General features: G+C 47.0%; 1 protein-coding gene across 61 annotated transcripts in view, besides 2 other annotated features; it reads left to right on the top strand.

Annotated features, from left to right (window-relative positions):
• The window catches only part of IKZF1 (IKAROS family zinc finger 1), a 101647-nt gene that overhangs the window by 49161 nt on the left and 38507 nt on the right, over positions 1-13979 (top strand). The window contains exons 1-2 of one of the 61 annotated variants that reach the window (XM_047419742.1): positions 28-12574; positions 13681-13792. The exons of 59 other annotated variants lie outside the window; for them this stretch is intronic. The gene's annotated coding sequence lies outside the window, so the exon portion shown is untranslated. Of the gene's footprint in view, positions 1-27; positions 13793-13979 lie in introns of those variants that run through there. One more of the 61 variants, XM_047419741.1, reaches the window with a different exon arrangement.
• Positions 7636-8155: an enhancer, noted in NCBI's record as "H3K27ac-H3K4me1 hESC enhancer chr7:50427949-50428468 (GRCh37/hg19 assembly coordinates)". NCBI's record gives its function as "activates a minimal SCP1, AML or CMV promoter by ChIP-STARR-seq in naive H9 embryonic stem cells {active_cell/tissue: H9 hESC(naive)}" and the evidence as "EXISTENCE:reporter gene assay evidence [ECO:0000049][PMID:30033119]".
• Positions 8156-8673: an enhancer, noted in NCBI's record as "H3K27ac-H3K4me1 hESC enhancer chr7:50428469-50428986 (GRCh37/hg19 assembly coordinates)". NCBI's record gives its function as "activates a minimal SCP1, AML or CMV promoter by ChIP-STARR-seq in naive H9 embryonic stem cells {active_cell/tissue: H9 hESC(naive)}" and the evidence as "EXISTENCE:reporter gene assay evidence [ECO:0000049][PMID:30033119]".

The raw sequence follows: 13979 nt of genomic DNA on the forward strand, positions 1-13979 counted from the left end.
ATCTTAAAGTTTATATATTTTAAGTTTAGTGTTTCAGAATGAGACCAAAGCGGTGACATTTTCAACCTCTTCGGTCTCTCTTCAGTTTTTTCATTTTAAGTTTTTGTTGTGCTTCTATCACTTAAAGGAAGCCTCCAAGTTGAAATCAAATACTAATGACATTTTTATCTAATGTATAAATGTGTTTTTATTATTTATTAGGAAATTTATTTTACTTGGCCCTCAGCCATGACATATCATGGCATAATCACTATCCTAAATTTGTATATCTTATCCTTGCATAAGGTAAGACTTTCTATGAATTACACATATTTGTATTTTCCTCTCTTACATATTTTAAGAATTTTTTTATACTTTGTTTTCTGCAAATGAAATATTGCTCATAAGCCAGGTGATGGCTGTCCACGCCTCTTTTCCCCTGCTTACCCTTGCTTAGATCTTATGGTAGAATCTTTTCATAGAAGACACAGAAAGACATGAAAGAAAGAGCTGGAGAAGCCTGAGGGGCTGCCCAGTGAGTGGTCTGCTAGGATGCTGTGCCACAGCCCAGGCACAGGAGGCAGGGAGAGCAATGGGGCCCTTCCCTTCCACCAACATTCAGCAGAATTTGCAGCTCCATGTTTCCAAAGCTTCCAGGGCACTTGCATTTAGAGAGAGAGAGCAAGCAAGCTGCCTTTCCTCTTCCTCAGTTCTGCCAGCCACACTCTTGCCATGATGAGCAGTTTCAGCCAAAAGCTCCTTCCCCTGCCCTAACACCTCCTGCAAGGCCTGAGGTCTGGAAGCCACCTGCGCCTGCTGGCCCCTCCTTTCTTGTTTCTGCAATGGATGTTGTGGCCCTGTGAGGGAGAAGAGAAAAAGAAGTTGCCCTCCTCCCTCTATCCTCACCTCCTGCCATGCTGTCACCCTTATAAGAGAGAAGGGCTAACCATCCAGGCTAATCCTCCAGTGATGCAGGAGAGGACATCCTGGCCGGAAGAGTCAGAGCTTCCAGGTGAGCTCAGGTGGGTCAGCCCCCGAGGCTGTGAAGAGCCCAGGGGCCAGTAGATGCCACTTTTGCTCCAGGAAGAATCTTCAACTGTGTCCTTTTTATTCAAGGGGCTCTCTTTTCAGCGAATCTCTAGATGTACTAGTCACAAACACTCGCATTTATTAAAATGTATCCATGATCCCACAATCCTTTTACATATTTCTCTCCAGGAGTATCACATTTCTGAGGGCCCTGTGCCTGTTTTCTGCAGGAAGTTGCTGTTGTCCCGGGTCCCCCTGCCCCCAGCACCTCTGTTACAAGAAGCAGACCCTTCATGCCACACTGGGACCCAGGGAGGCCCCAAGCCAGGATGCTGGGATCTTAGTAAAGGTTGGAATGATGTCAGAACATAGAGGAGGCAGAATTCCCCCCATAGCATCATCCTGGAGGGCGCTGATTTGTGTGCTCTGCCAGGTTCATCTGTGACTCAGGATTTAAAAGCCCCAGGTGTGGTGTCCCTTCTGTGCCTGCAAGGTGCGTCTTTAGCAGTTCTCCCTGGTGTGGAAGGATCAGTGGTTCTTGCAGCCTAGGCACCCTCCACAGCAAGCCCAACACAGGTGCTGTGAGCAGCTGGTTCATGAACGGTGATCCTGGGGAGAAGAGGAGGATGAAAATGGAAAACCAGTGCAAAGGTGTGTCATCCAGTTGGTTACTGCTGTGGGTGCCCGGGCTTCCATCCCACCAGAGCCCCCACTAGCCAGGGCAGCCTGGCGGAGGTGAGCATCATTCTGCTTTCTGGCTGCACCTGTGTGGACAGAGCCCGTTCCAAAGCCTCCCAGGCACAGGGCAGACATCAAGCAAGGGGCAGAGCTGGGGCGAGGGCTCTGGGTGCCCCCGTTATTGAACACAGGCCTGAAGGGAGCCTAAGAGGTGGCTGGCAGGAGATACTACAAGGCAGAAAGACAGGGCAGCAGTCTTTGTACTGTACGTTTTTGTTTTTTAAGAGAGAACAAAAAGTCAAGGTTGAGAGATGAGAAATACTCTTGCCAAAAAGAGAACACCAAAATCCTGGAGTCACGGGTCTTCCATTACCCTCTCTAGCATTTCTGCTTGTCTTTTCCCTAGTATTGGTGAAGAATTTTTAAAGTAACCAACCCATACCGTTGGTTACAGGCCCTGTGGTCACCAGGCTGTCTCCCCATGATGGGGATGGAGAGTGGTTAGTGCAGAAACTTAGACCTCCCCTCCAGCTTGTTGAATGCCCTGAAGTTTATCTAGAAGGGAAGATACTCAAGCGTAGGATTTCAGTGATGCATTTGGACAGCATCAGTACTATGCTTCAGCGTCAAAAACGTCACTTTGGGTAGGAACAATACATAATGCGTGGCAATGCCTTTTGTGACACCTGTTCAGGAGATTCCCATAGGAAGCTTCTGAGGCAGAGTCCTCAGGTGAGGAGGGGGACAGGCCTGGGTCTTGGGGGAAGGTGGAGATGACCAGCCTCATGCCTCTCTCCCCAGTGGCCTCAGTCTCCATCAGGCAAATCTTGAGAAGCCTCCTCCATTCTGCAGGCAAATGACTGAGATGTGTGAGCTCTGCTTCCCAACAGGCGGAAATTCACATGGGGAAGGGCACCTGTGAATGGCCTTCTAGAACTATCAGGAAGTTCTGGATTTAGTACCCTGTGAGAGCAGATGGTCCTGGGTGCACTCGGATGATCCTGCCTAGCCAGCTGGATTGCAGAGTGGTCATCATTATCAGTGAGCTATTGAGGGGTTGAGAGCAGTCAGTGTCATGTATAAGGATGGGTTGGGGTACCGGCCAACGCCCGCCTTGAGGCCTGGCCGCCGGATGGGAGGCGAGAGCACAAGAGAGTCCTGGCTAGGTGTGCCCCGCTCTGCAGGGCCACACCATCCACTGGAAACCCTGTGCCCACTGGGCTGCGTGCTAAGAGGCTGTGGCCAATGCTCTTGTCCAAATTTTACTGAATCTGCAGTCTCTCTTAATTCACTCCAAAGTTTAATGTGTTAGCTTGCGAATAAATAAATAAATAAATAAATAAATAAATAAATGGAAAGAAACAGTCCTCAGAAAGTCCCAGTCAAATTTTAATTCCAACAGATATTCAGCAGTTTCCTCTAAGAACAATGAGAGTTCTGGGGCTAGCCAGTGTTTCTCTTGGAAAATAAGGAAGAGGGAAAGCGGTGCATTCATTTAAAAACCTGCCCTAGGGAGGCAGCGTTCCCTGTGAACTCCGAGGCCACAGTGAGCAGAGCAGGCTGGAGGCCTCCCGGCTGTCCTGCCCCTCCTGCCACATGCCTGTGAAAATGCTAGATAAGGACTTTTTCTCAGCAACTTCCACGCTCCTTCAGTGGGGATGTCTTTGACTCAGAGCTCTGCCACTGGTTATCTCCACGAACAGAAAATGCCACAGATGGGTTAATTCACTGTGTTGTTCTCATTTTCCCTCAGTTTCAGGCTTTTCTCTCCTTGCCTGTTTTCCTCGCTTAAAAAATGATGTGGGGGTCCCTAAACGCATCTACCCCGATAGATTTATGTTTTCTTTTCCATTAGTCCACTTTGCGTCTCAGCCCTAAAATTAAGTTTTTGATTATAATGTAAGGAAGTTTTACCATATTTTAACTCTGGCTTTTTAAATACAAAAGAAAAATAACAGAATGGCCTTCTAGAACTATCAGGAACTTCTGGATCTAGTACCCTGTGGGGACAGATGGTCTGGAGCCAGCGCACTTGGATGATCTCTCTCAGCCATCTGGACCATAGAGTGAACTTGTTACTGTCCCTCCAAGGCTGACAACTATGAGCTCATACTCTTCTAGCAGTTTAATTTAGACCCAAGAAAGGCTGTGTGTGTGTGAATTTGTGAGAGTGTGTGAGTGTGTCTTTGTGCCTGTGTTTCTGTGTGTGTCTGTGTGTACATGTGTGTCTGTGGGGTGTGTCTGTGTGTGCACGGCTGTGTGTCTGTGCGTGTGCATGGCTTTGTCTGTGTGTGTGCGCACGCACTCTGCTAAGCTACTCAATGCAATTCCTTACTCTTACTTCCCTTTCTGTCACTTCTCCATAATTCTTTGTATTTCGGTTGGGCTGGTATCTCGCGGCGGCTTCCTCTTTTCCTGCATTCCTATATTTCATTATTTGCTCTTGTTCCTCTTCTAGGGCTTTTACAATATAGCCAGGAGGATGTGGAAACCCAGTTACAAGATGACACACAAGCACAGTGTCACAATCGCTGTGCTTGGGCCCTACCTCCTGGAGACCAGGGTGGGACGGTGTCTCTGGATATGGAGGGAAGGGCGGAAGATCACGGGGTGGCAGAAGGCCCGACTGTCCGGTCTTCTGGAAGCTGGGGTCTCGTGGTCGCTGGGCTGGTGGTGCTCTAAAACCTAGAGTAACCGAGAGCAGGATGACTGCACCCCTGACTGCCGACTCACCGGGCTTCGGAGGGCCATGGGTGTGTGATTCCACTTGTGATCCTCCTACTTCCCCAGCCCACCCTGGTGGTCTCCCACTTCTCTCTCTCTGCCTGTGGAGTGTTATAACCGACTCCTTCTTCTAGGCATCTCCATCCCAACCCCAGACCAGTTCCCTTAAACCACCTCCCACCACAGGACCCCCACAAGCAGGGACCTCTCACAGTTCCTGTTGCCTGGGGACTTCATCTCAGCTTCCAAGGCCTCTGGAACCAGGCCCTGCATCCTGGGCATGACTGTCCCCATGATTCTCTGAGCCAGCCACCACCCCACCACCCCCCCACCGCCAAGTCCACTGCTGACCCTGCTGTAGCCCCCCACCTCCACTTGTTGAGATTCCCTCTTCCTGCTTCTCATTTTGAATGTCACCCTTCTGTGACTTCTCACAACCCCCCTGCCACCCCTCCCTCCAGTTGGCATGGCTTAGTCTTCCTAAGAACATGTGCTGCTTCCCAGTACCCAGGGCTGCTGTGCACCGTGGCACGTGAGTTTCGGTGCATCTTCCTCCTGCTGTTTATAAATTGCAACATCCCTGGACAGATCTTGGATTTTCCCTCTATAATTTCTCTGGAGACTCCCTCGGGGTTTGCACACACATCTGTGGAATGCCCAAGTTGGAGATGGTCCTCCCTGATGTGTAGTGTGGGCTATTCAGAGGGCCTCATTTCATAAACTCATTAACAGCTAGGACGCGAAGACTTGGAGAAGTTAGCTCAGGACACACGGAGTGGGAGGGAGGCAACGAGTTAAGAAATGGGCTTTGGAGTGCCTCGAATTTGGCCTCCACTTTTCTTTTCTACTGTCTTACCTGGTCTTAGGCAGGTCGGGTGACCATCTGGAGTCGGAGTTTCTCTCATTTGTAAAGCGGGGGTGATATTTTTCTCACAGGGCTGCTTCAAGGGTTAACAAAGTTAATGTCTAGGAAGGACATAGCATAGCACCTTCACCTGGTTGCAAGCCCCTGGAGTCACATGGCAACAGCTGTGGAACCAGGTAAATGACTTGACTTACATGTTACACGCTCTTAGTTGTTCGATTTGTAAATGGGAAGAGTGTGTGACCCAAATTAGTCGTTTCCAGATATTTCCTGGTAAATGGTTGTTGAATCATAAAACTAGAAAGATGGGAAAGAAAGGGAGGAACCCCCCTTACTTCGAAGAAGTGTTGTTGATGTGAAGGACAGGACTTTTTGAGACACTCTCATCCTAAGAAACAGCTGATATCTACTAGGAAAAAACATGACATTTGAAGTTTCTTCCTAAGAGATGTGAGGTTTTGACAGAAGTGCCAGGAAGCCAGAGGTGTGTGAGTAGTGGGCCAATCTCGCGTGAAGGCTGTGGGACGGGGCAGGAGAGGGGCAGCCAGCATTTCCTGAGCGCCAGCTAATGGCGGGGACCTGGCACCTTTGCTCTGTGACTCTCCAGCTGTATGGTGACATGAGGCTGGCGTTTTCTTTGGTTTCATACGTGAGGAAGCTGAGGCTTGGTGATGTCCTGTGCATGGCTCGGACTCCAGAGCTACTCAGAGGCAGAGGCCGTCTGTAAACACCTTCAGGTGGTTGGAGGCAGGGTGCTGCAGCCAATGCTGATCACTCACAAGCCAAGGCTTTATTGTAAGGGCTAAATAAAATAACATATGCCTAGCATTTATACAGCACGGGGCTTTTTAGGAAATAGTGAGACGACCATGGAGAGGTGGAGGAAGAGAGAAGGGAAAGAAGAAAAAGAAAAAAAAAGCCTTAAAGAGTTTCTTAAGAGAACTATATATTACAAAGTCCTTGGAGTTTTTTTTCCCTGGTTAGACATAAGTTTACATGAAACGTTAAACGGCTTAAAGTAGCCACATCTCCTTCCTTATGTCTTCTCACAGCCACTTGTGAGTTTCTTATCAAGATACAGAATTATGGCCAAGTGCGGTAGCTCACACGTGTAATCCCAGCACTTTGAGAGACTGAGGTGGAAGGATCATGTGTGCTCAGGAGTTTCAGACCAACCTAGGCAATATGGTAAAACCCTGTCTCTACAAAAAAATACAAAAATTAGCTGGGCATGGTGGCATATTCCAATAGTTCCAGGCACTCGGGAGGCTGAGACAGGAGGATTGCTTGAGCCCAAGAGGTCAAGACTGCAGTGAGCTGTGATCGAGCCACTGCACTACAGCCTGGGCCACAGAGCAAGATCCTGTCTCAAAAAATAAAATAAAATAAAATAAATTCTGCAACAAGTCACAATTCCTTGCTCAGAAATCTCTACAGGTGTGCTTCTTTGTTAAGAAATGGAGGAAACATGAATTTCATCCTGACTTCTGAGTCTTGTAGAGACCAGATCTGACTCCTGCAGCCTTCTGCCCACAGAGCTGGCAGGCGGGGGAATGTGCGCAGAGTGAGGAGGAGCTGATCTGACATTCCGAACAGTGGAGACTGCTGCCTATTTGGCCGCACCACTGTCCTTCTGCATGGAAAAGTCACAGTAAATAATGGACTCTCTACCTGTGAGTCGATTTTACTGAGCTGCCTTTTTAAATATATGTGTAGAAAGGGCGATCTCTGTGTGTCATTTGCACATGTACATACACATGTACACACGTGCACACGTGGTCACTCATGTACACATGTGTGTGCACCAGTGCACCAGACCAGATGCACCCACCCAATTCCACGCTCCTCAGCCCCTTGCTTTCCTCTGCAGACAGCCAGTTCAGCTACAGTTATGCCAGATTGCCTGCACTCTGATCTTTACCATCACCAGACTCTCAGCTTGAGCTCATGCCTGAGAAATCCACTTTCTGGGAGGAAGGCAGAAGAAACTGCCAAGGCAGGACTGAAGACTTGACCTCCACCTGTAGTGGGGTCAGGTCACCAGAGGCTGGCTGACTCCCCAGGATTTCTCAGCAGAGTATTACACAAATACCCCTTCCTTAAAGATTAGCAACCACTTAAAGACACAAAGTGTGCAGGACTGTACCCATGGCCGAGAGCGGCGGGATTAAGAGGGCAACTGAGTTGTTCTTCCCATCCCTCCTCCTCTGTGCTGAGTCACCTTCTGCTTGGAATTCTGACAGGGACCCGTTGGGCTTCTGGAAGGGAGGGACAGCAGAGGATCCACCCTCTGTGTGTCCTGGGGGAGATTACTTATCTCTGGCCTCCCTGAAGCAGGGCCTGGGCTTCTGGAATCTTTGAGGCTGACACCCTGCCAGCCCTGGGGATGAGAGGGAATGGCCGTGTCTGTCTGCAGAGCCTGAGGAGGAGCTGAGCACAGCCTCCAGAGTTCTCTTCAGTTGATCGCTTAGGTGGACAAAGGCCACAGAAATGGATTTAAACTCCTCAGCCCTTTCTTTGCATGTTTGTTCTCATTTGAAGTCAGAAGTGATATGTCCTACACCTCAAGAACGTGTGAAATGCACATACAATAACCCCATTTCAGGAAGCCAAGTCCAGCTTAACAGTCAAAACATTTCCTTCAGTCTTTAGTCCTTCACTTTGCCGAACTCCCTTTTACACCGGCAGCAACAGTTTAACCTGTTGCTTCTGTAAGAGTGTGCTACTGGGAAAACCACATCTAAAACACGTGTGCAGTTACATCAGCTAGAGCACATGCTAAACAGTTGATCAAAGGCTCTTGCCTTGTGGCCCACGCTGCAGACACTCTGACGACTGCCGAGCTCCGCAGCCCCATGTCGTCCCTTCCGCACTGCCTGCTGTGCCTCTCCTCTCCATGTGGCAGGGAACACAGCCAGTCATCACCATGTGGCTCTGCCCGGCGCTGCCCCAGCATGTCCTGACAGGGCCTAGATATGGAAAGGTGGCTCTCCATGCACACACCCCAAGCCCCTCCTGCCCGCCGTGTGACCCACACTCTTATGGGCAGCCCAGTTATTTTGTAGCATTTCCCTTCCTTATCATTTTGGCCCAGTGATCCAGCACAAATCTCCCTTATTAGAATAAAATTTGGAATGACAAAATTAAATTTCATTTTTCACTTATATTGAGGACCTCACACTCTTCACCCCTGCCACGATCCCTGACAAGAGCCTTCCTATCTAATCATTGTTCCTCCAGCCCTCTTAGTTTTCTTCAGCCTTTCTTGATTGCCTGAATGTCCCTTTCCCTTCTCCTTTTAAAGCATGAACCAAGCTTTCTTACCCCGTTCTCATTATCATTTTTGCATTTTCTTCTTTGCATATGATTCTCCTTAAATTATAAAACTTGGGGGTAATTTCTAGAGGTGCCATCATAGTGCTTCTGTCTACTCAGTGTCTTTAGAATCAGCAAATATCATTTTTACAAAAAAGTAGTATTTCTTCCAAAAAAGAGTAAGCAAGAAGGTTACAACACTGGGAAAATATCCCTAAGCCTGTTCTTCAACCTGTTGAATGTTTTCCCCTAAATTGTTATATGGAGATCCTGGACCCGGAAGTTGGCTGACATGAAACAGGCCTAGCAGGGCAGCTGAGGAAATGCTCCAACCTCAGGATCCAGGAAGATTGCACATGGCACCAAAACAATCATTTAAAAGCTAATCCTGGCCAGGCACAGTGGCTCACGCCTGTAATCCCAGCACTTTGGGAGGCCGAGGTGGGCTGATCACAAGGTCAAGAGATCGAGACCATCCTGACCAACATGGTGAAACCCCATCTCTACCAAAAGTACAAATATTAGCTGGGCATGGTGGTGCGCGCCTGTAGTCCCAGCTACCCGGGAGGCTGAGGCAGGAGAATCACTTGAACCCGGGAGGAGGAGGTTGCAGTGAGCCAAGATCATGCCACTGCACTCCAGCCTGGTGACAGAGCAAGACTCCATCTCAAAAAAGAAAAAAAAAGCTAATCCCATAAAAGAACCATCATTTTGAACCTGCTGTTTCCTTTCTTGTACTCTTTAGAAGTACCCATTTCTCCCTTTCTAAGCCATAGGTGTATTAATTGGAGCTTTTTCTATCTTAATTAGTTCACTGTGAACAATTAAAATTGTGTTAATAAAACAAAAACAAAAATAGGACTGGTGCCTAGTTGTACTACATGAAGAGAGAAAGGGCCAGACATTGGTTTTTCCTAATCTTCTGTCAAGTTCTCCAAATCATCTGCTCTGGAAGGTAGCTCCAACAGCTGGGATTTGAAGTAAAGCATAGTGACTTTGGCCATCACTGACATGTCCCATTTGAAGCAACCAAAACTGTCCCTCGACCTGACACTCATCCCTGAAACACCATGAGGGTAAGTGAGGCGCTTCGGAAGGTCCACTCAACCCCATTGCCAGATAGAGTAAGTGTCTGCCAGGGGCATTTGGAGCTGAAGGGAAGACTGTACAGACTCACGGTTTGCAGGCACTGAAGGCGTTTTCCTGCCTTCTTTTTCACCTTCAGTGGACTTGCAAAGCACTAGCCCTATTGTTTTTCCCATCTGGGAAACATGGTGAATGTTGGTTGGTTGTAGCTAATCCTATGGGTCTTGAGGTCTTTGTTGACAAGAAGGTAGATGTTATCTTTATCTGCGTGTGGCTTTCTACTAAAACATGAGCTACAGGGCTCTCTTTTTTGTTTTAAAGCATTTTTCCATAAGGTTCACCCTTACTATTGCTTATCTGAATAATATTACCTGCTGAGAAGTTTATTCATTGCTCACCAGTTGTAGGGAGATTTTGACACAGGACTGGAGGATTTTTTTCTCATCGTAACAGTGCAGACCCATGGAAAGCTTGGAAGCAGTTGTGACCGGATAAGAGCAGGTTGAGGATGATAATCTTAGGGCAATGAGCAGGTTGATTGAGAGGGGTGCCTGAAAGCAAGGTCCCCATGATGCAAGCAAACAAACTCACATGCCAGACGGTGGACAGGAAACACAGGCAGGATGTGGTGCAGGCTGGGCTGCCTTGGCTGGGCAAAGGCAGGGGCTTCATGGCCATGCTGGGATGTGACGTGGTTGGAAAACAATAAGAATGGAGACCTCTCCAAAGACCTCAGACATAATTTGGCCATGAGAGGCAAGGGTAGAGGCGAGCCCCCTGTGGGTTGGAATGTATGGAATCCAGATGAAGCACCATCAACATGCATGGGCTACATAGGAGAGCTGGGTCTGGGGGAAAAGATGGGATTTGGGTTTGGGTGTGCATGTTCCAGGCATGGAGGGAAGAATGGGCAGAATGACGAGGATCAAGCCCTGGTGGAGCCCCCAGACCAGGGCCCTGGGCATATTTCCACTTGCCTTCTTCTGCAAACTTTTGTGTGCCTGTTGGGTGGAAGGTACTATGCTGGGGCCATCCAGGATCCGGAGCAGTGTAAGACATCATGGCCTGCATGGTGTGACCCTTGACATCTGAAAAGAACGAGCTGGTGGAGTGGGAAGGAGACAAGTGGCAGCAGAGTTGACATCATCAGGACTGACTGCAGGACAGGCGGTGAAACGAGCCACTGAGGAGTTACCCAGTGCCCTGGGGAGCTTAGATGTGAGACTTACACCACCCAGCACTCCCCAGCTCTGTGTCCCTGGGTCCCACTGAACTTGATTGTATTTTAGTTGCCTCTTTTCTAAGACCGGAGCAACAATACCTTCCTTGAGTGTGCATGTGCAGTCCATAGATGGCAGCCAGTGTTCTCTTCCCATGAGAAGACTCTGAGCCTCCTCACTAGAGGGTGGTCTAAAAACAAATGGATCCATCCACAGAAGGTCTGAAAGGTTTTCATAGAATCTTGACTTGGTAGCACTTCAGGATCTAACTCGTGCTTTCCAGAAGTGTGGCCTGTGGTGTTCTGTCTGGAGTATTTGGTCCTCCCATCCACCTCCACCTTGCTGTCCTGTCCTGTGACTCTCACTAGCTCAGTCACCGGGTCAGGAAGCCCTGCCATGAAATGCTAGATTTGGAGGCATTGCCAAGGTACCACAAACCATACTCAAACAAGGTCATAATAGACTAGTGATCTCACTGTGGCTAACAGGTTCATGTGATTTAAAGAATGACAGCATTTTTTCTAAATTTTATAAATTTTATAAATTTCTCCTAAATACAAATCTGAATGTGTTTACCTTTAGACAGATTTTCCCAGAAAATTGTCAGTGTTCTCGAATTTGAAAGTAGATCAGATCTCCTCCCTCTAGTTTTGAAAATCTCAAGTAGGTTTAGCCTCTCCCCAGAGTGACAACGGCACAAGAAGTTTATAATTTTATGCACAGCTAAATGCAAACTGAAAAGTGTGGTTTGTGGGTATTTCATTTTTCCCATAATGTTCATCAATTTGGCAATTCAAATAGGATTCAGAATCCAAGGTGTTCGCAGCATTTTATATGAAAATGTGCCTGAGAGTTTGGGGAATAGAAATTCTTACCAAATAAGTTAAATTTGCTCTTGATAAGAATATATTTTGTAAAATGTAGAAAACTGAGAAAAAAAGTTTGACACCTGTTTTATCTGCATCCTTTTATTAAACAGTGGCCTGAATTTACTAAAGGACAGAGAACAGGGTTGAGAGGTAATCACTGAATAATAGCTTCGCTAATCCCACAGTGACTGCTTCTTATGACAAGCAAGAGGGTCAACTTAGAGGCAGGACTGTCTTCAGGGGCAAAAGCAAGTCAGCACCTACAAACCTCTCCAAGAGAGTGAGAAAAAGCAGGTTGTATGGCTCATTTTGCAGCTTGCCAGAAGCAATGTGGGAATATTGTCAGACTGCACAGACCTGGGGCCAGCTGGCTCCTAGAGTGCGAGGAGCTCTCAGTGACTGCTGTGCATACTCACCTGCTCTGTGACTTTGTTCAGTCCCTACCCTGGATGTGTGGTGAAGGGTGCCAGGCTTAGCTGCTGGACCAGTGAGGTCCCTGAGGGGGCAGGGCTAAGAGGTGTAGCAGTCGCACTTGACCAGTCATTGATTCACTGGTTGGGAATTTGTTCATTGAGGGGACACCATTACTCCCCATGCCTCACGTGCAGGTGAGTGTGTGTATATTTGCATTAACACACAAACACACTTATGTGTGTCCCTGTATGTGCAGCTGCAGTACCTTACACATCTTCCAGTGCCTCTCAAGCATCATAAAAACAGCTTCCACAAAACCTCTACTACCCACCTGGCATCCACAGAGCTCCCAGTGATTGGCTCCCAAAAGATACTGAACTTTGGCATGGAACAGAGTGAGTTTCCACATTTGCTGTTGTACATAATTACCTGTCCAGCTAGAATAGTACACACTTCTTTTACTGAGCCCAGAAGTTTATGTGCCTGAACACGGATGGTACAGGAACAAGGGTGAGCGCTTATCAATTCAGCATTACTCTGGAGACATGAAACAAACTAATAGGTACAGCTATATTTTGTTTTTTAAACAATTTTGTGAACCACATATTTGGGACAAAAATCAACAAGTAAATTTGAATTACACTAGGCAAAGGACTGATTCTTTTGAAACGTGATTGACATTCAACGTCTAACTTTCCAAAAGAAGACATACATGTGGCCCACAATCATATGAAATAAAGTTCATCATCATTGATCATTAGAGAAATGCAAATCAAAACCACAATGAGATACCATCTCACACCAGTCAGAATGGTTATTAATAAAAAGTCAAAGAATGACAGTTGCTGGTGAGGTTGTAGAGAAAAAGGAACGCTTATACACTGTTGAGGGGATTGTAAATTAGTTCAACCATGTGGAAGACAGTGTGGCAATTCCTCAAAGACCTATATACCATTTGACCCAGCAATCCCATTACTGCATATATACCCAAAGGAATATGAGTCATTCTACCGTAAGACACATGCACGCATTTGTTTGTTGCAGCACTATTCACGATAGCAAAAACATGGAATCAACCTACATGCCCATCAATGATAGACTGGATAAAGAAAATGTGGTACATATACCCCATGGAATACTATGCAGCCATAAGAAAAAGAATGAGATCATGCCCTTTGCAGGAACATGGATGGAGCTGGAGGCCATTATCCTTAGCAAACTAACCCAGGAACAGAAAACCAAGTGCAGATGTTCTCACTTTTAAGTGTGAGCTGAATGAGGAGAATACATGGGCACATAGAGGGGCCTATCAGAGGGTGGAGGGTGGGAGAAGGAAGAGTATCAGAAAAAATAACAGGTAGTAGATTTAATACCGGATGACAAAACAATCTGTATAACAAACCCCCATGACATGAGTTTACCTATATAACAAACCCGCACATGTACTCCTGAACTTAAAAGTTAAATTAAAAAAAAATTAATGTCTAATAATATATTACAGTATTCTTCATATTCAATGGCAATGTGTGAAGTGGGAAGTGTCTTGACAGAATTCGGTGTTTCAAGGCTTACACTTTGATGCCCAAGACTGCACAAGGCTACATTTTCTACTGGTGAGACAAATTCCAGACGCATTGCATTCAGATCTAATCTCTTAGCTCCTTAATCTTCAGGGTACTGGTAAACATGAAGACCTCCCCAGTGCTGTAGTCATCATGATATGTACAGCAGGTGGCTGAGCTCTGGATGTAGACTGCAGGGATATATTAGGAAGTTAATTCTCAAGGCAAGTCATCTTCA

Source organism: Homo sapiens, chromosome 7, assembly GCF_000001405.40.
Source record: "Homo sapiens chromosome 7, GRCh38.p14 Primary Assembly".
NCBI classification, from domain to species: Eukaryota; Metazoa; Chordata; class Mammalia; order Primates; family Hominidae; genus Homo; species Homo sapiens.